General features: G+C 50.2%; 1 protein-coding gene across 2 annotated transcripts, besides 4 other annotated features; it reads right to left on the reverse strand.

The window, feature by feature from the left end:
* NIPSNAP1 (nipsnap homolog 1) lies at positions 1-26,306 on the reverse strand. Of its 2 annotated transcripts, none has more exons than NM_001202502.2 (10): positions 26,238-26,306; positions 15,598-15,725; positions 15,355-15,400; positions 14,386-14,480; positions 6,985-7,055; positions 6,699-6,839; positions 6,364-6,395; positions 5,927-6,021; positions 4,063-4,146; positions 1-1,192 (listed from the first exon to the last, which is right to left on the reverse strand). In NM_001202502.2, exons 1-10 carry the CDS (start codon positions 26,273-26,275, stop codon positions 1,128-1,130), a joined length of 795 nt encoding a protein of 264 aa, NP_001189431.1. In that variant the 5' UTR covers positions 26,276-26,306; the 3' UTR covers positions 1-1,127. The 2 variants fall into 2 exon arrangements, with proteins under 2 accessions (NP_001189431.1, NP_003625.2); NM_003634.4 differs by having other exon boundaries at positions 26,178-26,306.
* Positions 14,373-14,667: an enhancer, noted in NCBI's record as "tiled region #2653; HepG2 Activating DNase matched - State 5:Enh, and K562 Activating DNase unmatched - State 5:Enh". NCBI's record gives its function as "activates a minimal TATA promoter and a strong SV40 promoter by Sharpr-MPRA in HepG2 and K562 cells {active_cell/tissue: HepG2 | K562}" and the evidence as "EXISTENCE:reporter gene assay evidence [ECO:0000049][PMID:27701403]".
* Positions 16,133-16,427: a silencer, noted in NCBI's record as "tiled region #10387; K562 Repressive non-DNase unmatched - State 7:EnhWF". NCBI's record gives its function as "represses a minimal TATA promoter and a strong SV40 promoter by Sharpr-MPRA in K562 cells {active_cell/tissue: K562}" and the evidence as "EXISTENCE:reporter gene assay evidence [ECO:0000049][PMID:27701403]".
* Positions 25,467-26,079: an enhancer, noted in NCBI's record as "H3K27ac-H3K4me1 hESC enhancer chr22:29976263-29976875 (GRCh37/hg19 assembly coordinates)". NCBI's record gives its function as "activates a minimal SCP1, AML or CMV promoter by ChIP-STARR-seq in primed H9 embryonic stem cells {active_cell/tissue: H9 hESC(primed)}" and the evidence as "EXISTENCE:reporter gene assay evidence [ECO:0000049][PMID:30033119]".
* Positions 26,063-26,112: a silencer, noted in NCBI's record as "silent region_13593". NCBI's record gives its function as "represses an Ori minimal core promoter by ATAC-STARR-seq in GM12878 lymphoblastoid cells {active_cell/tissue: GM12878}" and the evidence as "EXISTENCE:reporter gene assay evidence [ECO:0000049][PMID:35858748]".
* Positions 26,307-26,488: the final 182 nt, after the last annotated feature.

Consider the following 26,488-nt stretch of genomic DNA (forward strand, 5'->3'; position numbering starts at 1 on the left):
TTTATAGTAAATATTTAATTGTTTCCATCAGCAATTCCAGCACAAGTTTTCCTGGATGGTAGGCAGAATCAAGCTACCCAAGGGTTCATGATGAGGTATGGGGGTCACTGAGGAGACCCCCAGAGTCACTGACCCCTCCCGCCACCTCCACACACCAGGTGGCCCTGCAGAATGAGGGTTGGGCTGATAGAATGTCAATTAGGGGAGACAGGATACAGGGTGAGGGAACAGGGTCTAGCTTGTATATTTGCCTGCAGGAAGGAGGGAGGGCAGGAGAGACTCTGCATAGAAGGACTGGAACTACACATTTAAGTTTTCAACCCCAATATGCAGGGGGAAACAGCCAAGCCACTCTCCATCTGTCTAGTATTAGGAACCTCTCTTCAAGTGGTCTTTTGTCATCTCTGTTCTTCTTCCCAATTCTGTATTCCAGATTCCAAATTCTACAATTGAAACCCAAGTTCTGAATTCTAAGTTCTACCTTCCGAGTTCCTGTTACGTGTCTGTCTCCTGCCCCTAAATCTTTCCTGGCTCCCATCCCTTTCCCCAGCCCCTCTGGGCAGAATGTCTGAACCTCCTCCTGACCGTGGTGACGAGGTTTGTTTGTATTTGTTTTTTTGTTTTGGCAGTTCCAGGCTTTTCTCCAGCAGGAGGGACTTGGCTCAGACTGTCCAGCAAGTGGGTGGCCCAGTGGAAACCAGGGAATTCCTGAGGGCCTGGCCTGGCCTCCTCTCTTCCCACCCCACCTCTAGCCACTGGACATACTACCTTTTGTGCAACTAAGCTAAACAGAGGATTTCCAAGGGTGATAACTGGGGACTGGTGGCCTTGAGATGAGGAATTTTAGAAGATAAATGAAGGCCTAAAAGATCACTATCTTTCATTCAGGGAAATCAGAAACTACTTCTAGCAGGGGGAGGGAGGCAGGCAGGGAAAGTAGAAAGGGCCTGGGCAGAGCTGTAATCCTCAGAACTTGTCAGCCTTCAGTTCCCCCTTGTCTGAACTGAGCACTGCCCCTCAGAGTCCTCCCAGAGCCAAGACAAAACCAAGACAGCAGGACCAGGAGTGCCACTGTCTGTCGGGGTTGCCTGAGGGAGAAGGGGAAGGAGGTGGAGGTGTAGGCAGCATCACTGCAGAGGCGAGATCTTCAAGGGGATCATGATCCTAGACTCCATGTGTCGCACCAGGGGGACTGCGGAGAGAGAAGGCAGAGGTCACACAGGGGGCTCAAGCAAGCCAACAACCTCCCCTGGCCCCACCCACACATGCTGGCCTTTGAGTGGGCAGGAGGAGGCCCCAGATGCTGCGACAGGAATGTCCCATTGCCCTCGTGGAAGGGCCCATGAAGAGCACCAGATCCCTCAAATTATGGGATAAGACAGGACTTTGGTGGTGATGAGAATAACATTTTCTTAAATTTTAATAGTTATCTGTTGGCCAGGCATGGTGGCTTGTGCCTATAATCCCAGCACTTAGAGAGGCCAAGACAGGCGGATCACCTGAGGTCAGGAGTTCGAGACTAGCCTGACCAACATGGAGAAACCCTCTCTCTACTAAAAATACAAAATTAGCCGGGCGTAGTGGCACATGCTTGTAATCCTAGCTACTCGGGAGGCTGAGGCAGGAGAATCGCTTGAACCCGGGAGTCAGAGGTTGCTGTGAGCCGAGATCAGGCCATTGCACTCCAGCCTGGGCAACAAGAGCAAAACTCCGTCTCAAAAAAAAAGAAAAGAAAAACACTGATTTAGACCAACTGCCTCGTTTTACAGATAGAGAGGGTGCAGCCTAGAGAAGGTCAGCTCCAGGTCATCCAGGAGGTTAGACTCTTTCCTCCAGCTCAGAGCTTTTCAAACTTTAATGTGCATACAAATCACTTGGCAGTTCTTGTTAATGTGCAGATTCTGATTTGGTAGGTTGCAGGAAGCCTGCGATTTGTTATTCTTGTTTGTTTCTTTGTTTGAGATGGAATTTCACTCTTGTTGCCCAGGCTGGAGTGCAATGGCACTATCTCGGCTCACTGCAACCTCTGCCTTCCGGTTTCAAGCGATTCTCCTGCCTCAGCCTCCCGAGTAGCTGGGATTACAGGCATGTGCCACTATGCCTGGCTAATTTTGTATTTTTAGTAGAGACAGGGTTTCTCCATGTTGGTCAGGCTGGTCTTGAACTCCTGACCTCAGGTGATCTGCCCACCTCAGCCTCCCAAAGTGCTGGGATGACAGGCGTGAGCCACTGCGCCCAGCCGAGATTTGTCATTCTTAACAAGCTCCCAGGGGATGCCAATACTGTCAGTTGGGACCACACTTGATTTTTTTTGTTTTTTGTTTTTTTTGAGACAGGGTCTCACTCTGTCTTCCAGGCTGGAGTGCAGTGGCAGGTTCTCGGCTCAATGCAACCTCCGCCTCCTGGGTTCAAGTGATTCTTGTGCCTCAGCCTCCCGAGTAGCTGGGATTACAGGCTTGAGTTACCATGCCTGGCTAATTTTTTTTATTTTTAGTAGAGACGAGGTTTCACCATGTTGCCGAGACTGGTCTCCAACTCCTGGCCTCAATTGATCCACATACCTCAACTTCATAGTGCTGGGATTACAGGTGTAAGCCACTGTGCTTGTCTTGTTTTTTATTATTTTTATTTTTTATTTTTGAGATAGGGTCTCACTGTTGCCCAGGCTGGAGTGCAATGGCACAATCATGGCTCCCTGCAGCCTCAAACTCCTGGGATCAAGTGATCCTCCCACCTCAGCCTTCCAAGTAGCTGGGACTACAGATGGGAAACACCACGTCCTGCTAATTTTTAAAAAATGTTTTGTAGAGATGGGGTCTCCCTATGTTGCCCAGGCTGGTCTTAAACTACTGACCTCAAGTGATCCTCTTGCCTTGGCCTCCCAAAGTACTAGGATTTCAGTTGTGAGCCACCATACCCAGCTGGGACCACACTGAATAGCAAGGCTCCTGCTAACTCCTTCAGCAGACACATTCTCCCTCATACCACCTGGTAAGTGATCACTGTAAACTTCTCAATGGCAAGGACAGGCTCTTGTTCATTTATGTGCCCCTCAACCACCTACCTACCACAGTTCCCGGCACACAGTGAGGGCTTAATTAACACCCACTGACTCTAGGTGGTTTCAGGTTCCTAGCAAAGTGGCAAACACCTTGAGCAAAAAACTTGTTCAAGGCTGGGCACAGTAGCTCATGCCTATGATCCCAGCACTTTGGAAGGCTGAGGTGGGAGGACTGCTTGAGCCCAGGAGTTTGAGACCTGCCTGGGTGACATAGTAAGACTGCATCTCTACAAAAACAAAAACCTTATTCAAAAACATTTCCTGCATGCTTCCTTTGTGACAGACACTGGAGAAAGCACTTTTCATAAATGAGTTTGTGGGCCAGATGTGGTGGCTCATGCCTGTAATCACAGCACTTTGGGAGGCCGAGGCAGGCGGATCACCTGAGGTCAGGAGTTCGAGACCAGCTTGGCCAACATGATAAAACCCCGTCTCTACTAAAAATACAAAATTAGCTGGACATGGTGACACACGCCTGTAATCCCAGCTACTCGGGAGGCTGAGGCAGGAGAATGGCTTGAACCTGGGAGGCGGAGGCTACAGTGAGCCAAGATCATGCCACTGCACTCCACCCTGGGTGACAGAGTGAGACTGTGTCTCAAAAATAAATAAAATAAAATAAAATATAAAATAATAAAATAGTTTGTAGAATCTTCCGTTATAGCCCTCTGACAGAAGCACTATCACCATCACTATCTTACAGACGAGGGAACAGCCTCAGCGAGGTAAAGAACCGTGCCCAAGGTCACAATGGGCGTTTGCTAATCCACATCTCCTAGGCAGAGGCGTGGCCCTGGCTATGTTATCATCCCCTAGAGTACTCACCTAGGCCTGCTGGTATCCTATGGAGTGTGCCACTTGGATAGAAACCCATTAACTCATTGTCTTAAAAGTGAGTTCCCCATCACTGGAGGTAATCAAGAAAGACTAGATCTCCTTGCAGAGAGGATTCCATCCTCAGACAGGGTTCTCAGCAGAAGACCTCCAAAGGCTTCACTCACCTGTATAGTAGACATTTTCATCCCAGCCTCTCTTCCTCCAGGCAGCGTTTCGAGTCTCCTCCCGAGACTGCAGGTCTTTATAGGCTGTGAGAAAGGCACAGGCTCATTCCTCAGGCACAGAGGACTGGATCCCTTACCCAGCACAGGGCCCTCTTCCCACTGTCCCCTAAACCCTGCACTGCTGTCTCCTCCTCCCTAGATGCCTCCCTCAGACTATTAGCAAACACTGTCTGCTTTAATCATCCATCCAATCAGTACATATGTTAATATTGCCTACATTTATATTTCTAGTCGCAAACACTCCCAAGGGCTCCAGACTCCTATATCCATCTACTGCCTACTTGACATCTCTACTTTGGTGTGTCAGCATTTTTAGTGTTAACACTTCCGGCTAGGTGCGGTGGCTCATGCCTATAATCCCAGCACTTTGGGAGGCCGAGGCTGGTGGACTGCTTGAGGCCAGGAGTTCGAGGCCAGTCTGGCCAACATAGCGAAACTCTGTACTAAAAATAGAAAAATTAGTTGGGCATGGTACTGCATGCCTGTAATCCCAGCTACTCAGGAGCGTGAGGCACGAGAATCACTTGAACTTGGGAAGCGGAGGTTGCAGTGAGCTGAGATCACACTACTGCACTCCAGCCTAGGTGACAGAGCAAGACTGTGTCTCAAAGAAAAAAAAAAAAAGTAACAATTCCAAGGGCCAAAATTACGCTCCTGACCCCACTGACTTGCTCCTTCCCTAGACCTCCCAGACTCAGGAGATGACACACAGCAGCTCAAGCACGAGCCTGGGAGCTCTTCTGGAATGCCCTTCTCCTTCTCTTGCCCCACACAGACAATTCATCCACAAGTCCTGTTGGTTCCACCTCTAGACTAACAAATCTTCTGTGGACTTCTCAGCATCCCACTGCCCCATCCCCTCCTGCCTGAACTAGAGTAATGGCTTCCTGAAGCCCTGCTTTCTCTCTTGCTCGCCTACCAAGCACTCTTAACAAAGCAGACAGCAGCCAGAGAAATCATACTAGAACAAAAATCAGGTCGTGTCACTGCTATTTGAAACAAATAGTCTCTCATTGCATTTACAATAAATCCCAACTCATTCCCCCTCTCCTGTTCCATCTCCCCACATTCTTCCCTACTCACTCCACACTGGCCTCCTTGCCACACCTCAAAACCCCGAAGGCCTTTCCCCACCACAGGGCCTTTGCATGTGCTGCTCTGTCTACTTGGAATGCTTTTGCCTAGCAATTCACAGCTGGCTCCTTCTCATCCTTTAGCTCTCAGCTTACATTTTACTTCCTCAGAGAGGCATTATTTGTCTACCTAGACCAATGTAGATCCCCTATGTTTTTCACCATCATCTCTCCCTGCCTTTTTTTTTTTTCTTCTTTTTTTTTGAGACGGAGTCTCGCTCTGTTGCCAGGCTGGAGTGCAATGGCGTGATCTCAGCTCACTGCAACCTCCACCTCCCGGGTTCAACTGATTCTCCTGCCTCATCCTCCCGAGTATCTGGGACTACAGGCATGCGCCACCACGCCCAGCTAATTTTTGTATTTTTAGTAGAGATGGGGTTTCACCATATTGGCCAGGATGGTCTCGATCTCTTGACCTTGTGATTTGCCCACCTCGGCCTCCCAAAGTGTCGTGATTATACACTTGAGCCACCGCTCCCAGACTCCTTGCCTATTTTCTATAAATATTATTTGTAATCTGAAATTGATCTTTTTGTGACTTTACATCTAAGATAGTGTCTCCTGCTAGAACATTAAGTTCTATGAGGACACTAATACAACCCCATTGGCTACAGAGAGTGATGACAGAGAAAGAGAACTAACAAAAGGCTCCTGGAAGGTCCTCAACCTACCCCAGAGATGGTGCACCACGTAGAGCTCTCCTATCTGTGAGAAGAAGCCGCCCACTGCCTCCTGGTTCTCCTGCCGGTACTTGATGGCCCGAGCCCTGGAGAAGGCACAATAATATGGGGCAGAAGCCAGGGCTGGTGCAGAGGGTACTGAGGCTGATTCCTTGGCCACACTTCACAGGAGGGGCCTAGGTGGAACCCACGGTCCTCCGGGATGCTGAGAGAAAGGACTGATGGCGGGGTGTTCTACCAACGGAGGGGTCACAACCTTCTAGGAGATCCTCACCTCCTGGCTGGATCCTTCTCCCAGATCCATGAGGGGCAGAAGGTAAAGAGTTCCCTGTGATATGGCCCTGGAAAAGGTGGCCCACCAGGGGCCTTGGTGGGGCAGGTGAGCAGGGTACGCCTCCCCCAACCCCAGTCTTGGTGCTGCCACTTACCAGTTGTTCCCCCACTCGATCATGGTTCCTGGCTGAAAGAGAACCAAAGGGATGATGGGAATGAGCCCCCACCTCAGATTCATAGCATCACAGCTTGGCAAGGAAGGGAAACTGCCCTGTCTCCCCACCTCCCAAGCTGCAGCGGCCATTTGGCCTCATTCGCAGGCCCTGACACACACCTGGTGTGCATGTTTGCACACATGTGTATACAACTCTGCTCTGAGCCCATAGGGAGGGAGAAGCCAGAAGCCCCAGTCTAGGTGTTGGGGCAGCTGCAAAGCAGCATTGCAGCAGGGAAATTGGGGGGCAGGAGGGGGTCTGTCGGAGGGAGGCACCTTGAGCTTGTATGTCCTCAGCTCATAGATGTTGGGACCCATTCTGGGCTGTGGCTCATTCCAGAAGCTGAACTCGAGGAGCAGCTGGTTTCTCCTGGACAGCAGCATCTGGCTCCGCTCCCTTCGGAACTCCAGGTACTCCTGTGGGCATGGTGGTAAAGGCATGGCTACCAGGAAGTGCGCTCCATCCTGACAGTGTGCCTCATGGGGTAGCAGAGTAGTCCCCAGAACAGGGCTGGGCTGCATCCCACATCCAGAGAGGTGTGCTGAGTGGACACTAACATACCTTATTGTTTTTGAGCTTGTTCATGCAGTCCATGAGGGCTGGGTAGCCACCTGAGAATCGCCACAGGTGCACTGTTGGGGGTGAGAGGTATAGGTCAGTGAGCTGCTGGGACCCCCAGCAGATGACCTCCTCAAGGTTGGCTAAGTGGTGGGGACGGGGGAGGCGGGGTGGCCTGGTTCCCTGTAGCAGCAAGACTCCCTGAGTTCCCTCTGCCTTGGTGGAAGACCATGCTGGGGAGGGGATGACCCTAGACACAAGTCTAGGAGACCTGGATTTGAGCTCCAGCTCTGCCCAGCAGCCTTGGACTGCTCTAGGCCTCAATGTTCTCATCTTGAAAATGGGAATAATGTTCCCACCCCACCTTCCTTAAATAGCAACAAGAAGATCAGATGTGTCCTGTACCCTGGAAGCAGTGGCATGCATAAGGAAGACCACCAGGCCTTAGAGGGGCAGCTGAACAAAAGAACAGGGGAGAACTGATGGGCTGATATGGAACATTCCAAGACAGTGAATTGAAAAAAGGAACCAAGGAACAGAAGAGGATGTGTGGTATGCTACCTCATGTGTTGAGGTGGCAAGGACATCCAGAGATGCTAATTTATGCATCACCTCTTAATGGCGACTTAAGAGATTGACAGTAGACCAGGCGCAGTGGCTCACACCTGTAATCCCAGCATTTTGCGGGGCTGAGGTGGGTGGAGACCAGCCTGACCAACATGGAAAAACCCCATCTCTACTAAAAATACAAAATTAGCCAGGTGTGGTGGCGCATGCCTGTAATCCCAGCTACTTGGGAGGCTGAGGCAGGAGAATCACTTGAACCTGGGAGGCAGAGGTGGCGGTGAGCCAAGATTGTGCCATCGCACTCCAACCTGGGCAACAAGAGCGAAACTCCGTCTCAAAAAAAAAGAGATTGACAGTAGATGCCCCTGGGACACAGAATGGAGGCCTGTGGGGCCTCGGGCAGGAGGGAAGCTTACTTTGCATGGAAAACTCTTTGTACTGTTAGAATTTATAAAAATCCTGGGCCGGGCACGGTGGCTCACGCCTGTAATCCCAGCACTTTGGGAGGCTGAGGAAGGTGGATCACGAGGTCAGGAGATCGAGACCATCCTGGCTAACACAGTGAAACCCCGTCTCTACTAAAAATACAAAAAATTAGCCAGGCGTGGTGGCGGGCACCTATAGTCCCAGCTACTCGGGAGGCTGAAGCAGGAGAATGGCATGAACCCAGGAGGCAGAGCTTGCAGTGAGCCGAGATCATGCCACTGCACTCCAGCCTGGACAACAGAGCGAGACTCCATCTTAAAAAAAAAAAAAAAAAATTAGTTGGGTGTGGTGGCACATGCCTATAATCCCAGTTACTCGGGAGGCTGAGGCAGGAGAATCGCTTGAACCCAGGAGGTAGAGGTTGCAGTGAGTCAAGATTGTGCCAGTGTACTCCAGCCTGGGTGGCAGGGTGAGACTCCGTCTCAAGTAAATAAATAATCAACTTTGGGAGGCTGAGGCAGGTGGATCATCTGAAGTCGGAAATTTGAGACCAGCCTCACCAACTTGGCGAAACCCCATCTCTACTAAAACAAAAATTAGCTGGGCGTGGTGATGCACATCTGTAATCCTAGCTACTCAGGAGGCTGAGGCAAGAGAATCGCTTCAACCTGGGATGCAAAGGTTGTGGTGAGCTGAGATCGCACCACTGCACTCCAGCCTGGGCAAAAGAGCAAGACTCCGTCTCAAAAAATAAATAAATAAAAATAAAAATAAATAAAAATCATATTATCTGCACTGAGTTGAACAATGTCCCCTCAAAATTTATGCCCACCCAGAACCTCAGAATGTGACCTTATTTGGAAATAGGTCTCTGTGGGTATAATCGACCTAAGATGAGATTATACTAGGTGAGCCCTGAGTCCAGTGACTAGTGTCCTTATCAGAAGTGGGAGATCTGGACACAGGAGAACACTATGTGAAGACAGAGACACACAGAGAGAACAGCATGTGACGAGGGAGGCAGAGATTAGAATGACAAGTCTACAAGCCAAGGAACACTAAGAGTTTCCAGCAATCCCCAGAAACTGGAAGAGGCAAGGAAGGGTTCTCCCCTAAGGCCTTAGGAGGAAGGACAGCCCTGTCAACACCTTGATTTGTGACTTCCAGCCTCCAGAACTGTGACAGGATAAACCTCTGTTATTTTAAGCCACCCAGTTTGCGGTATGCTGGCCACCCCAGGAAACTAATCTAATTCCTAGTAACAAAGAAACCTAATTAATTGTGGAGGAGAAGAAAGGAACAGTTTTGCCATCCTGGGAGCATGGCTGGGCCCATCAGCGGAGGAAGGTCCCCAGGGGATCACACAGGCAAGCTAGAGCTAAGGGCAGCTGGCTGCCAGCAGTCTAGAAACTCAGACTCTGTAACTTCCCATCCCCATCCCCAGCCTGACCTTCACCTGTTTTTTGACTCCATCTGTGCCTTGATTTTCCCATCTGCAAAATGGCCTGACCCTATGGTTTAAAGGTCTTTTTCCCAAAGGAAATGGCAAAAGTACTGTATGGATAGAAATCTACCAAAACCAGGAATGACCTGTGGAAAACGGATTAACGGAGAAAAGTTACAAGGACAGCATCATTGGCAAGAGGAAGGAATTTTCTTTATTTTTCTGTCACCCAGGCTGGAGTGCGGTGGCGTGATCTCAGCTCACTGCAACATCCACCTCCTGGATTTAAGAGACTGTCCTGCCTATGCCTCCCAAGTAGCTGGGATTACAGGCGCATGCCACCACGCCCAGCTAATTTTTGTATTTTTAGTAGAGACAGGGTTTCACCTTGTTAGCCAGGCTGGTCTTGAACTCCTGACCTCAGGTGATGCACCTGCCTCAGCCTCCCAAAGTGCTGGGATACAGGCATGAGCCACCGCGCCCAGCCAAGAAGAAGGAATTGTCTAACAACTGTGGTGCTCTCCATAGGAGATGGATCAATGGTTCTTACAAGTTTATTAAAATGTAGATTCTTGAACCCTACTCCCAGCGTACAGCTCAACATGATTCAGCTGACTATGTGAGGGACTGAACTTCAAGGTACAAAAAATGTAGGGTATGCTTTAAAAAGTCAGGATCAGCCAGGCGCAGTGGCTCAGGCCTGTAATCCCAACACTCTGGGAGGCTGAGGCAGGAGAGGAGCACTTGAGCTCAGGAGTCTGAGATCAGCCTGGGCAACATAGCAAGACCTCATCTCTACAAAACAAACAAACAAACAAAACAAAACAACTAGCCCAGGCATGGTGGTGCATGTCTGTGGTCCCAGCTACTCGAGAAGTTGAGGTGAGAGGATCGCCTGAGCCTAGGAGTTCAAGGTTACAGTGAACTATGATCATGCCACTGCACTCCAAACTGGGTGACAGAGCGAGACCCTGTCCCAAACAGAAAAATAAAAAGAAGAAAAAGGCCAGGGGCAGTGGCTCACGCCTTTAATCCCAGCACTTTGGGAGGCCGAGGCAGGTGGATCAACTGTGGTCAGGAGTTCGAGACCAGCCTGGCCAAGATGGTGAAACTCCATCTCTACTAAAAATACAAAAATTAGCCAGGCATGGTGGTTCATACTTGTAGTCCCAGCTACTCGGGAGCCTGAGGCAAGAGAACTTGCTTGAATCCGGGAGGCAGAGGTTGCAGTGAGCTGAGATCACGCCACTGCACTCCAGCCTGGGCAACAGAGTGAGACTCGGTCTCGAAAAAGAAAAAAAAGAAAAAGTCAGGATCCCATCCCTCAGAGTTCATTTCACAACTAGCAAATGCTTAAGAGAATTCAAGGAATACTGCTGGAGCTGATCAAGTCAAGCTTAAAATGGGAAAGCTGTAGTGGCTGAAACTGAAGGCAATTTGCTTTTCTCTTATTCCCTTAGCCACATATCAGTGTCTAGCCAGGTATGATGGCACACGCCTGTAGTCCCAGCTACTCAGGAGGATTGCCCGAGCCCAGAAATTCAACTCCAGCCTGGGCAATATAGTGAGACCCTGTTTCTAAATGGAAATAATAAAAATAAAACATAAATAATATGTTAATGTCTGTTACGGAAACCAAATAATTGATTAAGGAGATACACCTATCTATCTGCAGGTCACAGATTATTTTCAAAGACACGATTATCAGGGCTGTCAAAGGATGAAATAGATTGGCTTACAAGTGAACTCTTCATGGCTAGGAGTGTTCAAGGGAAGTTTAGAGGACCATCTGTTATGGCTGTGCTATGCAGACACTCTAAACCAGTACTGTCCAAAAGTACTTTCTGCATGAGCCTGTGTGTATATGAGTGAGCATTTGAAATGTAGCTAGTATGACTAAGAAACTGAATTTTTTCTTTTTAAAATCTTTTCTTCTTTTTTTTTTAATATGTATTTTCTTTATAGAAGCAAAGTCTCACTATGTTGCCCAGGCTGGTTTCAAACTCCTGGCCTCAAGTGTTCCTCCCACCTCAGCCTCCTAATCTGCTGGGATTATAAGCATAAGCCACCATATTCAGTCCTGAATTTTTTCTTTTTTAGAGACAGGGTCCTCACTGTGTTGCCCAGGCTGGAGTGCAGTGGCTATTCATAGGTGTGATGGTATTCAATCACGGCCTCGAACTCCTGGGCTCAAGCAGTCCTCCCAACTCAGCCTCCCAAGTAGCTAGGACTACAGGTGAGCACCTTGGCACACAGCTTGAACTTTAAATTTTATGTAATTTTAACTAATATAAATTTCAATAGCTACATGTGAGGCCAGGGCGCAGTGGCTCACACCTGTAATCTCAGTAGTCCAGGAGGCCAAGGCTGACGGATTGCTTGAGTCCAGGAGTTCAAGACCAGCCTGGGCAACATAGCGAAACCCTGTCTCTACTAAAAATATAAAAAATTAGCTGGCTGTGGTGGTGCACACCTGTAGTTCCAGCTACTTGGGAGGCTGAGGTGAGAGAATCATCTGAGCCCGGGAGGTCAAGGGTGCAGTGAGCTGTGATTGCACCACTGCAGTCCAGCCTGGGAAACCAGAGTGAGACGCTGTCTCAAAAAAATAAATAAATAGGCCAGGCGCAGTGGCTGATGCCTGTAATCCCAACACTTTGGGAGGCTCAGGCGGGAGGATCATGAGGTCAGGAGTTCAAGACCAGCCTGACCAACATGGTGAAACCCTGTTTCTACTAAAAATACAAAAATTAGCCAAGTGTGGTGGCACACGCCTGTAACCTCAGCTACTCAGGAGGCTGAGGCAGGAGAATCACTTGAACCCAGGAGGCAGAGGTTGCAGTGAGCCAAGATTGCACCACTGTACCCCAGCCTGGGTGACAGTACAGAGCGAGGCTCCATCTCAAAAAAATAAATAAATAAATAACTACATGTGGTTAGTGGCTATCATTTTGGACAGTGTGGGTCTGAATTTGAGGTCCCTTTGAGTGGCTGAGATGCTGTGAGTCAGCCAAATTCATGTGTGGGTTCTTATAGCTGGTGCCAACTTTGATGTGTCTATTAGGCTGGGATGGGGCATGCTAGGGGTGCCCCTGGGACTGTAAGACACCAGCTCAGACAAGAAGAACTCCTATTTATTCCACAAATATGTGCTGCATATTGGGGATTCACCCATATATGGAGACAGACAACTAAACAGGCAGCTATAGGGGTACATGATCAGGGCGTGAGGAGGTAATTACTGAGGCCTGGAGAGCTAAGGAAGGTGCCTGACCCAGCCCGCGTGGAGGAAATCTCGGCAGCCTTCCAGGAGGAGGTGACATCTATGCCAAAATAGAAAAGTGAATAGTCCAGGCACTGTGGCTCATGCCTGTACTCCCAGCACTTTGGGAGGCCAAAGTGGAAGGATCGCTTGAGCCCGGGAGTTTGAGACCACCCTGGGTAACATAGGGAGATCCCGTCTCTACAAAAAATTTAAAATAAATTAGTTGGGCATTGTGGCATGCACCTGTGGTCCCAGCTACTCAGGAGGCTGAGGTAGGAGGATTGCTTAAGCTCAGGAGGTTAAGGCTGTGTGAGCTGTGATCACACCACTGCACTCCCCACTGGGTAACAAGACCTGGTTTCAAAAATAAATAAATAAATGAAAATTTAAAAATGAATAAAACTGAAAGGCCAGGCACGGTGGCTCATGTCTACAATCCTAGCACTTTGGGAGGCCGAGGAGGTAGGATCATTTGAGTTCAGGAATTCAAGACCAGCCTGGGCAACATGGAGAAACCCCGTCTCTACCAAAAAACACAAAAATTAGCCGAGCATGGTGGAGCGCACCTATAGTCCCAGCTACTCAGGAAGCTGAGGTGGGAGTACTGCTTGAGCCTGGGAAATTGAGGCTCGAGTGAGCCAAGATTATGCCACTGCACTCCAGCCTGTGTGACAGAGCAAGACCCTGTCTCAAAAAAAAAAAAAAAAAAAAAAAAGGCCGGGAGTGGTGGCTCACTCCTGTAATCCCAGCACTTTGGGAGGCCGAGGCAGGTGGATCACCTGAGGTCAGAAGTTCGAGACCAGCCTGACCAACATGTGAAACCCCATCTCTACTAAAGATACAAAATTAGCCAGGCCTGGTGGCACAGGCCAGTAATCCCAGCTACTCGGGAAGCTGAGGCAGGAGAATATCTTCAACTCAGGAGGTGGAGGTTGCAGTCAGCCAAGACTGTGCCACTATCTGCCAGCCTGGGTGACAGAGCGAGACCCTGTCTCAAAAAAGAAAAAAGAAAAAAAAAAAAAAGGCCGGGTGCGGTGGCTCACACCTGTAATCCCAGCACTTTGGGAGGCTGAGGCAGGTGGATCACCTGAGATCAGGAGTTCAAGACCAGCCTGACCAACATGGTGAAATCCCGTCTCTACTAAAAATACAAAATTAGCTGGGCGTGGTGGCACATGCCTGTAATCCCAGCTACTCAGGAGGCTGAGACAAGAGAATTGCTTAAACTGGGGAGGCGGAGGTTGCAGTGAGCCGAGATTGCACTACTGCACTCCAGCCTGGGGCAACAAGAGTGAAACTCAGTCTCGGAAAAAAAAAGAATAAAAGACAGTGATCCAGGTAAAGCAGGCAAACAAGAAATAATGCTTAAGGCAGAAGAAAGAGAATGAGCAGTAGTCTGGAACTAAAGAGTGAAACTGTCAATCTGAGGAACTGAGTCCTGGGTGGGACAGCACAGCGAGGCATGGAGGATTTGGTGCCATGAGGCTGGGGGCAGGGCCGGGAAGGAGTCACAGGCTTCACGGGTCACCTTGAGGGCACAGGGGAGCCAGGACAGGTATTTGAGCAGGGGAGTGAGGTGATGAGGTTTTAGTAAGAGCCCCACCAGGTGCTGTTGTGGAGAGGGAGTGGAGAACAGCCAGGTGTGAAAGGTGCTGGAGGCCAGGGCTGGGCAGTGGCAATGGCACTAGGGAGGTGAGCGCCTTACCTGCCTGGTCCTGCTCCCCATACCACGTGTTCCAGTTGCCCACGAGTGAGCATGGGTAGTCCTCATCCAGGTGAAGCTTGGGCAGCACAGCCTCCCTGTGGGGGAGGTGCAGAGAGGGGCAGGGTTCACATAGCCACCAGGGCCTCTGAGATAAGGGTTCAAACTCAGTTCAAACAGACCCTGGGGCTGGGCCTCAGACTCTCCATCTCTAAAATGCAGAAGCTAGGCAAGAGGCCCTCAGGACTTCCGACACTGAAATTTACATCCTGGCTGGGCACAGTGGCTCACACCTGTAATCCCAACACTGGGAGGCTGAGGCAGGAGGATTGCTTGAGCCCAGTAGTTTGAGACCAGCCTGGGAAGCAAAGTGAGATCCCATCTCTCTTTTTTGTGTGTGAGACAGAGTTTTGCTCTTGTTGCCCAGGCTGGAGTGCAATGGCGCAATCTCGGCTCACTGGAACCTCCGCCTCCTGGAGACCATCTCTTAAAAAAAAAAAAAAGAAAGAAAGAAAATGGGGCCAAACGCAGTGGCACATGCCTGTAATCCCAGCACTCGGAGGCCGAGGCAGGTGGATCACCTGAGGTCAGGAGTTTGCGACCAGCCGGACTAACATGGTGAAACCCTGTCTCTACTAAATACAAAAAAATTAGCCATGCTTAGCGGCGCATGCCTGTAATCCGAGCTACTTGGGAGGCTGGAACAGGAGAATCGCTTGTACCTGGGAGGCAGAGGTTGCAGTGAGCCGAGATCGCGCCATTGCACTCCAGCCTGGGCAACGAGAGCAAAACTCCATCTCAAAAAAAAAGAAAGAGAGAAAGAAAGAAAGAAAGAAAAAGGCAGAAATAAAAGAAATCTACATCTCCTGGATTTCTACAGAAAAGAACAGGGTGGAGGATGTTCCGCAAATTTGCTGAAAGTGTGTTCCCCACCCAAGCAGGGGATGGGATGTATGGATGCAGGGTGCTCACGTGAGGCTGTTGTAGGCATCCAGGTATTCAGGCTTTACATTGTGAACTGCAACAGAGGACAGAGAACAAGAAGTGAGGTAGGGTGTGTACACAGGGAAGAACTTGGGGTGAGGGGAGCCCATCAAGGCCAGGGGTCCCAGGACAGCTGAGGACATTCCAGACCCTCCCATCTCCTTCCTGGAGCCTCACAGGCCCCCAGAGCCCCTGAAAGGGCAGAAATTGGTCAGCTCAGCAGCCACTCACACTGGATCTTATAGAGGTTGCTGGTTTCCTTCTTGGACAGCAGGGTGGAGTGGGCATCCTTCCGGGGATCCACTTTGTGAACAAAGAGGGAGCGGAACCAGCTGCCTTCATTGTCCTTGGAATAGAAACTGCAGGACAGAGGAGTTGAGGGGGACGCGCGGAGGTTGGGGGAGCCCCAGCAATTCCATCCACTTGGATGTCCTGCTCCCCTAGACCAGTGACCCACATTTCTGGGAACAGGGCCACGGAGTCCTGTGGCAGCTCCAGACTGTGAAATGCTATTGGAGCCAGCTCCTTTCTACAGATATTCCAGCTGCCCAGTTGGCTTCTTGAAGCTTTGCAGAGCCTCAGGACGCCAGGAGAGGCAGCCCCACCTCCCACTTCTCTCTCTAGCCTCCCTGCCTCCACTTCATCCCCCTTCCAAGAGGTCCTCTACTTGGGTCATATAACTCCAGCCTCTCGCCAAGAGGATCAACCCCAAATCCACCTTGCATCATGCCCAAAGCCCTTGACAACCCAACCTAACTTGTCAGCCTCCCCTCCTGCCCCCTCACCTGTACACCTCACTCTCCAGGTGTGCTCTTCCCTGAACACACCAGGATCTGCTACTCTGTGCTTTCTGTACAAGTTCTGTCCCCTCTAACGAGAAGACTGCTCTCACCGTCCTCCCCAGCACTCTCACAGTGCACTTGGCCCATGTCCCCACCCTGACCCCACACATGGAAAGCCAAATACAAATAAGCTTTGTCCTTGAGGAGCTCATAGTCCACTAGGAGAAATGGGCCTTGGGACACAATTATAGGAGGGGTCTCTGGAAGAGCCCAGGTGAACTAGCCTTAACTCTGCTTCTGGCAACCTGGGCAGACTCTCTACAGAGGAGGAGATGAGCTGGTCAGTCCCCAGGACTGGTTTGGCAGATAGAGGGAGTAAAAGGCACTGCAAAGCAAGATGCATTCACTCATCCAGCCAACACCTGCTCTGCCCATCTCCATAGGATACTGAGAATGAATGAATGAATGATCAATGAATATGATTATGTGCTTTGCCCATGAGCACTGTGGTTAAGGGCAGTGGAGGGTCTGCTGCCAGCTCCTACTGGACCAGAACTGCACTCCCATCCTAAACACATACCCAAGGTCCCAGCAGGAGGCAGGGGTGCTTATTTTGAGACTACCAATCTTCCCGCTCCACAGCCTTGGTGCAGCTTGCAGCCAGGCCTGAAAAGGAAGTCTCCCAATGGAGACAATTCCTAGCCAGGGAGCCTGGCAAGAGGGATCCCTGAGTGGCAGCAAGCCTTATCCCTTTTTTCTTTTTTCTCTTTTGTTTTTTCCAAGTGAGGTCACAGGAAGCCCTATCCTTTCTTTTCTTTTTTTCTTTTCTTTTTTTTTGAGACAGAGTCTTGCTCTTGTTGCTCAGGCTGGAGTGCAGTGGTGCGATCTCGGCTCACTGCAACCTCGGCCTCCCGGGTTCAAGCAATTTTCCTGCCTCAGCCTCCTGAGTAGCTGAGATTACAGGCGCGTACCACCACATCCAGGTAATTTTCGTATTTTTACAATACAAATACTCGGCTGCCCTATCCCTTTTTAAGACTTTTATGTGGTTAGACAAATGTCTTAGGCTGGGTGTGATGGCTCACGCCTGCAATCCCAGCACTTTGGGAGGCCAAGGCAGGCAGATCACCTGAGGTCAGGAGTTCGAGACCAGCCTGCCCAGCATGGCGAAACCCTGTCTCTACTAAAAATACAAAAATCAGCCAGGCGTGGTGGTGTGCACCTGTAATCCCAGCTACTCAGGAGCATGAGGCAGGAGAATTGCTTGAACCTGAGAGGCAGAGGTTGCAGTGAGCCAAGATCGCACCATCACACTCCCGCCTGGGCAACAGAGCGAGAATCCATCTCAAAAAAAAAAAAAAAAAAAAGGACAAATGTCTTGCAAATAAAAAATCAATCAATTTTTTCCAAAATATGGAGCAGCCATTGGGACGGATAAAATCAGCTGGGCACGATGGCTAAATGCCTGTAATCCCAGTACTTTGGGAGGCTGAGGTCAGAGGATCACTTGAGCCCAGGAGTTCAAGATCAGCCTGGGCAACAAAATGAGACTCCATCTCTACAAAAAAAATAATAAATATGACTGGCTTATGCCTGTAATCCCAGCACTTTGGGAGGCTGAGGCAGGAGGATTGCTTGAGGCCATGAGACAAGCCTGGGGAAACTTGTGAGACCGTGTCTCTACAAAAAATAAAATTAGCTGGGCATGACGGTATGTGCCTGTAGTCCCACTACTTGGGAGGCTGAGGTGGTAGGATCACTTGAGCCTGGGAGGTTGAGGCTGCAGTGAGCCAAGATCTTGCCACTGTACTCCAGCTTGGGCAACAGAGTGAGACTCTATCTCAAAAAAATAAAATAAAATAAAATAAAATACAATAATTAGCCGGGTGTGGTGACACATGCCTGTAGTCTCAGCCACTTGAGAGACTTAGGAGGATCGCATGAAGCCCAGGAAATCAAGGCTACAATGAACTATGATCAGGCCACTGCACTCCAGCCTGGGTGACAGAGACCATGTCTCAAAAAAAAAAAAAATTTCTTTTTAAAAATAATCTTAAAGTGGTGATATGTTTGTTTTGTTTTGTTCATTTGTTTGTATTTGAGATGGAGTCTTGCTCTGTCGCCAGGCTGGAGTAAAGTGGTATGATCTCCACTCACTGCAACCTCCACCTCCCGGGTTCAAGTGATTCTCCTGCCTCAGCCTCCCAAGTAGCTGGGACTACAGACGTGTGCCACCACGCCCAGCTAATTTTTGTATTTTTAGTAGAGACGGGGTTTTACTATGTTGGCCAGGATGGTCTCGATCTCTCGACCTCATGATCCACCTGCCTCGGCCTCTCAAAGTGCTAGGATTACAAGCATGAGCCACTGCGCTGGGCCAAAGTGGTGATATGTTTGTATAAGCATAAAAATGAGAAATGGGCCGGGCATGGTGGCTCACGCCTATAATTCCAGCACTCTGGGAGGCCGAGGCAGGCGGATCACTTGAGCTCAGGAGTCTGAAGCCCTGTCTCTGCAATAAATAAAAAAATTGCTGGGTACGGTGGCTCACGCCTGTAATCCCAACACTTTAGGAGGCCAAGGCGGGTGGATTACCTGAGGTCGGGAGTTTGAGACCAGCCTGACCAACATGGAGAAACCCCATCTCTACTAAAAATACAAAATTAGCCAGGCGTGGTGGTGCATGCCTGTAATCCCAGCTACTCAGGAGGCTGGGGCAGGAGAATTGCTTGAACCCAGGAGGTGGAGGTTGTAGTAAGCCGAGATCAGGCCATTGCACTCCAGCCTGGGCAACAAGAGTGAAACTCTGTCTCAAAAAAAAAAAAAATTAGCCAGGTGTGGTCGAGTGTCAAGTGCGCCTGTAGTCCCAGCTACTCAGGAGGCTGAGGTGGGAAGATCGCTTGAACCCAGGAGGCGTAGGTTGCAGCAAGCTGAGATCGGGCCACTGCACTCCAGCCTGGGCAACAGAGCAGACCCTGTCTCAAAAAACAAAACAAAACAAAACAAAACAAAAAAAGAGGCTGGGCATGGTGGCTCATGCCTGTAATCCTAGCATTTTGGGAGGCTGAGGCGGGCAGATTGCTGGAGCTCAGGAGTTCACGACTAGCCTGGGCAACATGGCAAAACCCCATTTCCACTTAAAAAAAGATACAAAATATTAGCCAGGAGTGGTGATGTGTGCCTGTAGTCCCAGCTACTCGAGAGACTGAGGCAGAACTGCTTGAATCCAGGAGGCGGAGGCTGCAGTGAGCCAAGATCACGCCACTGCACGCCAGCCTGGATGACAGAGTGAGACTCCATCTTCACAAAAAAAAAAAAAAAAAAAAAAAAAAAAAAAGAAAGAAAAAGAAAAGAAAATAAATTACTTGTCCCAAACTGTTAATACTGCTTACCTGGGAAAGAGGAATAGGAGATGGCTAAATTTTTCTTTATTCATTGTAATTTTTTATAAAGATTTTAAAGTGTGTTAAGCATTTCTGAATTCATGAACTCTCTCGATCATTGTACATGCATCTGCTTCATTAGCAAAAAGACAATTATCAGCCTGGTGCGGTGGCTCATGCCTGTAATCCCAGCACTTTGGGAGGCCGAGGCGGGCGGATTGCCTGAGGTCAGGAGTTTGAGGCTAGCCTGGCCAACATGGTGAAACTCAGTCTCTACTAAAAATACAAAAATTAGCTGGGCATGGTGGTGCAATCCTGTAATCCCAGCTACTCGGGAGGCTGAGGCAGGAGAATCACTTGAACCCGGGAGGCGGAGGTTGCAGTGAGCTGAGATCGTGCCATTGCACTCCAGACTGGGCTACAAGAGCGAAACTCTGTCTCAAAAAAAAAAAAAAAAAAAGACAATTATCATTAGATGGGTAGTGCGGTCTGTGAAGTTTTTGGACCAGAATAAGGGAGGCTCTAAGCCAGGGATCTGTGATGTACTTTTCAGTTGCAGGATCTCACTGATTCTATGCAATGATCTTATAGTATTGGTACTATTAGTATTCCCATTCTCGCGAGGATAAAATGGAAAGAAGCCCAGAGAGTTTAAGGGACTTGCCCAAGGCCGCACAGAAAATCAGAGGGCAGAGTTAAGAACCCAGCGCTCTTTCCTTGAAAGCCAATCCCCACCTCAGGTTGGGCACTGAGGGACCTGACCTTTGGTTTTAATGTAGAGGGGCTGCTTCCCCTGGAGGGAGATGGGCAGTGAGGAGAGCAGCTCCTACTATTTATCAACCAAGACCTTTGCTCTAGAAAGGACTAGACAGAGTAATTTATTAACATCAGCACTGACCAAGATAAATATCAGTCAAATAGCCAGCCCTGAAGAAAGAGATTAGGGGCTGGAACACTGGAAACTTCAGGAGCTCTGATGGGCTCCCGTCTCTTCCCACTACTCTAATCCTTCCTGCCTGTGGGCCTCAGTTTCCCCATCTGTCAAATGAGCAGGGTGGTGGAGCCCATCCCTAAAGCTGTTTTCTACAGGTAAAATCCAAGAAGGAGCTTGTCAAAGATCTCAGAGGAGGGTTTGAACTCCAAGCCAGCATCCCCAAGGGTACATCTGCAAGAGTACAAATGTCACTTTCTCAGTGAAATTACAATGTTCTCCTACCCTTGACCTCCCCAAGCCCTCTCTTCCTGCTCTCTATCTTGTTCCAGAGCACGTTCTAAAACGCTATACTAGGATTAGCCCAGTGGCTCATGCCTATAATCCCAGCACTTTGGGAGGCTGACGCAAGAGGGAAGGATTGCTTGAACCCAGGAGTTGTTTTTTTTTTTTTGTTTTGTTTGAGATGGAGTCTCAGTCTGTCGTCCAGGCTGTAGTGCAGTGGCGTGATCTGGGCTCACTGCAACCTCCGCCTCCCAGGTTCAAGCAATTCTCCAGCCTCAGCCTCTCAAGTAGCTGGGACTACAGGCATGTGCCACCACATCCAGCTAATTTTTTATTTTTAGTAGAGATGGGTTTTCACCATGTTAGCCAGGCTGGTCTCGAACTCTTGACCTCAGGTGATCCTCCTGCCTCAGCCTCCCAAAGTGCTGGGATTACAGACATGAGCTACCACACTTGGCCTTTTTTTTTTTTTGTATTTTTTTGAGATGGAGTTTCACTCTGTTGCCCAGGCTGGAGTGCAGTGGCGTAATCTCAGCTCACTGCAACCTCCACCTCCTGGGTTCAAGCGATTCTCTTGCCTCAGCCTCCCGAGTAGCTGGGACTACAGGTGCGTGCTACCACACCCGGCTAATTTTTGTATGTTTTAGTAGAGACGGGGTTTCACCATGTTGGTCAGGCTGGTCTCGAACTCCTGACCTCAAGTGATCTGCCTGACTTGGCCTCCCAAAGTGATGGGATTACAGGCATGATCCACCATGCCCGGCCGAACCCAGGAGTTTGAGACCAGCCTGGGAAACATAGCAAGACCTCATCTCTACTAAAAATTAAAAACAAAAAAAAACACTATACTTTTTGGCTTATTATGTGCTTTGTTTATTGTCAGTCTCTAAACTGGAGGCAGCCCTAGCGGGGCAGAATCCTTGTCTGTTCTGTTGTATCCCTGCTGTATCCCCTATGCTTGGAGCAGTGCTGGGCACATGGTGAGAATGCAGTCCAAGTTTGAGAAATGAATGAAAGAGGAGCTAAGACATTCTTGCATGAAAATGATGAAAGCTGAAAAGTATGAAACAAAAGAAATGGTAGACCTTAGGCTGGGCGTGGTGGCTCACGCCTGTAATCCCAGCACTTTGGGAAGCCGAGGCGGGTGGATCACAAGGTCAGGAGTTCAAGACCAGCCTGGCCAAGATGGTGAAACCCCGTCTGTACTAAAAATACAAAAAATTAGCTGGGTGCGGTGGCAGGCGCCTGTAATCCCAGCTACTTGGGAGGCTGAGGCAGGAGAATCGCTTGAACTCAGAGGGCAGAGGTTGCAGTGAGCCGAAATCGCGCCACTGCACTCCAGCCTGGCTGACAGAATGAGACTCCGTCTCAAAAAAAAAAAAAAAGGTAGACCTTGACCCAGAGTGACTTCACTCAGGGATCAGGGGTCCTTTCCATCCTTAACACCAACAGCAGAACTAGTGCTTATGAGCACAAGCTCTGGACAAATCCAGGTTTTGATCCTAGCTCAGCTTCATCTTTCTTTTTTCTTCTATTTTTTTTTTCTTTTTTCGAGACAGGGTCTCACTCTGTCACCCAGGCTGGAGTGCAGTGACACAATCATGGCTCACTGCATCCTCTATCTCCCAGACTCAAATGATCCTCCCACTTCAGCCTCCCAAGTAGCTGAGACCACAGGTGAGCACCACCACGTCTGGCTAATTTTTGTTGTTGTTTGAGATGGAGTCTTACTCTGTTGCCCAGGCTGGAGTGCAATGGCACGATCTCGGCTCACTGCAACTTCCACCTCCCAGGTTCAAGGGATTCTCCTGCCTCAGCCTCCGGAGTAGTTGGGACTATAGACATGTGTCACCATGCCTGGCTAATTTTTTTTTTTTTTCTTGAGACGAAGTCTCGCTCTTGTTCCCCAGGCTGGAGTGCAATGGTACGATCTCAGCTCACTGCAACCTCCGCCCCCTGGGTTCAAGTGATTCTCCTGTCTCAGTCTCCCAAGTAGCTGGGATTACAGGCATCTGCCACCACGCCCAACTAATTTTTGTATTTTTAGTAGAGACAGGGTTTCACCACGTTGGCCAGGTCGAACTCCTGACCTCAGGTGATCTGCCCGCCTCGGCCTCCCAAAGTGCTGGGATTACAGGTGTGAGCCAACGCACCCGGCATGTTTTTTTGTTTTGTTTTGTTTTGTTTTGTTTTTTTGATACGGAGTCTCCCTCTGTTGCCCAGGCTGGAGTGCAGTGGCGCGATCTTGGCTCACTGCAACCTCCAGCTCCCCAGTTCAAGCGATTCTCCTGCCTCAGCCTCCAGAATAGCTGGGAATACAGGAACACACCACCATGCCTAATTTTTTTTTTTTTTTTTTTTTGAGACAGAGTCTTGCTCTATCACCCAGGCTGGAGTGCACTGGTGCGATCTCAGCTCACTGCAACCTCCACCTCCCTGGTTTAAGCGATTCTCCTGCCTCAGCCTCCAGAGTAGCTGGGATTACAGGCGCACACACCATGCCCAGCTAATTTTTGTATTTTTAATAAAGACGGGGTTTCACCATGTTGGCCAGGCTGGTCTTGAATACCTGACCTCATGATCCGCCTGCCTGGGCCTCCCAAAGTGCTAGGATTACAGGTGGGAGTCACCAGGCCTGGCCTGGCTAATTTTTGTGTTTTTAGTAGAGATGGGGTTTCACCATGTTGGCCAAGCTGGTCTTGAACTCCTGGCCTCAGGTGATCCACCCGCCTCAGCCTCCTAAAGTGCTGGGATTACAGGCATGACCCACTGTGCCTGGCCAAATTTTTGTATTTTTTATAGAGACAGGATCTCGCCATGTTGCCCAGGCTGGTCTCAAACTCCTGGGTTCAAGCAATCCTCCCACCTTGGCCTACCGAAGTGTTGGGATTACAGGCGTGAGCAATGGTGCCTGGCCCAGGTCCATCTGATTTCAAAGCCCACACTCCATCCCCACCCCAGCAGCCTCATTGCCCCCAAACCTCACAGGCCAGAAGGGCTGCTGCTGGCCCTACTAGTGACTCTGGAGAGATATGGGGCAGCCTGAGGGGCAGCAGGACAGAGTGTTCTCAGGTATCCAATGTGGAATTAAGGTATAAGTAACTGCAAGACAGTCCTTGAGGGACTTGATAAACATTAATTCAAGTGGCTTCATAGCAATCCTGCCGAAAACACCAACATCCCCACTTTACAGAAAAGGAAACTGAGGCTGACGGAGGTTCAGCAACTCATCCAGGGTCACTGAGTGAGGGGCAGCAGGCTGACTCTGAGACCCATGCTCCTTTTACAGCCTCTGGGTGTTTGCCACACAAATGGTTTTACCACCAATCCATTCTGTCCCTTCCCCAATCTTGATATTTTTATCTGGAAAACAAAGGGCTCATAAAAGATGATCTTCCCAGAGCCCTTTGAGCCTCAACATTATGTGGGTCACATGCAGAAATTGCTTGAAACATAGGCTAGGGGTTAAGGAGCAACACTTACTGCATGTTCGTCAAGTGCTAGACACTTCACAACCACGGAATCTTTTTTTTTTGTAGACGGAGTCTCGCTCTGTCACCCGGGTTGGAGTGCAGTAGCGTGATCTCGGCTCACTGCAACCTCTGTCTCCCGGGTTCAATTGATTCTCCTGCCTCAGCTTCCTAGTAGCTGGGATTACAGGGGTGAGCCATCACACCCAGCTAATTGTATTTTTAGTAGAGACACGTTTTCACCAACATGGTGAAATTTTTGTACTTTTTTTTTTTTTTTTTTTTTTTTGAGACAGAGTCTCACTCTTGTCGCCCAGGCTGGAGTGCAGTGGCAGGATCTCGGCTCACTGCAAGCTCCGCCTCCTGGGTTCACGCCATTCTCCTGCCTCAGCCTCCTGAGTAGCTGGGACTACAGGCGCCTGCCACCGCGCCCAGCTAATTTTTTGTATTTTTAGTAGAGATGGGGTTTCACCGTGTTAGCCAGGATGGTCTCGATCTCCTGACCTCGTGATCCACCGCCTCGGCCTCCCAAAGTGCTGGGATTACAGGCGTGAGCCACCGCGCCCGGCCATTTTTGTACTTTTTATAGAGACAGGATCTCGCCGTGTTGCCAAGCTGGTCTTGAACTGCTGACCTCAAGTGATCTGCCTGCCTCGGCCTCCCAAAGTGCTGGGATTACAGGCATGAGCCACCATACCCGACCAACCACAGCATCTTTAATCCTCAACAACCCTATGAGATACATCCTGATTACTCCCATTTTACAGATGAGGAACCCGAGGCTTAAAGAGTCCTGAGGTCACCCCACCTACAAAGTCTGAGTTAGATCTGTTAGTGCCAGGCAAACTCTAGGCTTTTCCCACGGTGTCAGCTTTATCCCTAATTATTGGGCAGTCTAGGTGGGGCGCTTATGCCACTCCTCTTTCCCAGCTGTCCAAAAGCCCCACTGCTCTGTGCTGTAACATCTCATGGCAGGCACTATCAGAACTTTGCAGCTTCATTCCTGGGCTGCAGGGCAGGAGGGATGGTTGCTTCCTTTTCACAGGTTGGGGGAGGGGGAACAGGTGGCCTCACTTCTTTGGTAAATATTCCTTGACCATACACAGTCCTGAGCCCTCTGAGGGTGGGAGGCTGGGGAAACAGAGAAAAATGAGATCATGGTCTAGTGAGAGAGACAGACAAGCACCAAGTCATAACTGTGCAGGGTCATATATGCAGAGATGGGGGAAGTACAGGGCTGTGGGGACCAAGGAGTGAGGGGCTGCCCAGGGCCAGTCAGGGAGGCCAAGCCCTAGCTCAGCCCAGAGCAGGGCCCAAACAAAAGCCCAGGCTGAGAGCACATGGCCCAGCCAGACTCCCACTCCCAGGAGGCCACCAGTTGGGTGCAAAGTGCATGGCGCATTGGCAGGCCTGGGTCCCAGACCTGGTGCTGCCACGGCACAGCAGGGAGGGTGACCTTGGACAACTCCCATTCCCTCTCAGGTCCGTTTCCCCACCTGTACAGTTCGAGGTGGAGGAACAAAGGGTCTGTGCAGCCATGGCCCCTGGGGATCCCCCACTGCTCCCCTGCCATCATCTCTTTCCCACAGAACTTCCCGACGGAGGAGCTGACTACCAGAAGCCCCCAGTGGGTGTTAAATCACAAGCTACGCCTGGGAATGGGCCACTCCTCCTGTCTTCTGCCCTCTCCCACTCTCCAGGGCCCAGTACCTGCCCTTCTCACCATCTTTCATCAGGTCCCCATCACAGCCCGGTCCCAACCAGGACAAAGACCCTACCCATCCCTTTCTCACCTCCCCCATTCTTTGCCCAGACCCCTCCCTAGGCCTTGATCCTGCCCCGCCTCTAACCCCCAGATTCCAAGCGAGGAGTCTCAGCCCCTCCCCCACGACCCAGTCCCTGGCCCCCGCGCCTGCACCCCACCCCGCGCGCGTCTATCCCTGCCTGGCCGGGCTCTCACCGCGCCGCAGCTGCAGACGCAACGTCCCCAGCGCGAGGCCCCGGGCCCCCCAGCAGCCGCCGCGCCGTCACAGAGATGCTGCACAGCCGCGGAGCCATGTTGGAGCCGCAAAGGTTGCAGGAAGGCCCCGCCCCCAAGCCCTGGTGGCGGAGGCGGGGCGCGAATAAACTCCACCCCTCCGGCTCGCCCGCCCCCTCACTCACCCGGTCAGGTGGGCGTTTCCTGTGGGCGTCTCCAACTCCGCAGGTGCTGGACGGAAGTCAGGGTTCTAATCCTCTGCGCGCTCTGCGACCTTGGCAAGCCCTTTGCCC

The sequence above is a fragment of the Homo sapiens genome, chromosome 22 (assembly GCF_000001405.40).
Source record: "Homo sapiens chromosome 22, GRCh38.p14 Primary Assembly".
NCBI classification, from domain to species: domain Eukaryota; kingdom Metazoa; phylum Chordata; class Mammalia; order Primates; family Hominidae; genus Homo; species Homo sapiens.

Coding starts and splice junctions, on each gene's coding strand:
- NIPSNAP1 (NM_003634.4), bottom strand. CDS start 26,275: ATGGCTCCGCGGCTGTGCAGCATCTCTGTGACGGCGCGGCGGCTGCTG. Junction 14,481..15,354: donor GATGCCTACAACAGCCTCAC/GTGAGCACCCTG, acceptor CCTCCCCCACAG/GGAGGCTGTGCTGCCCAAGC. Junction 6,396..6,698: donor TGAGGACATACAAGCTCAAG/GTGCCTCCCTCC, acceptor GTTCTCTTTCAG/CCAGGAACCATGATCGAGTG.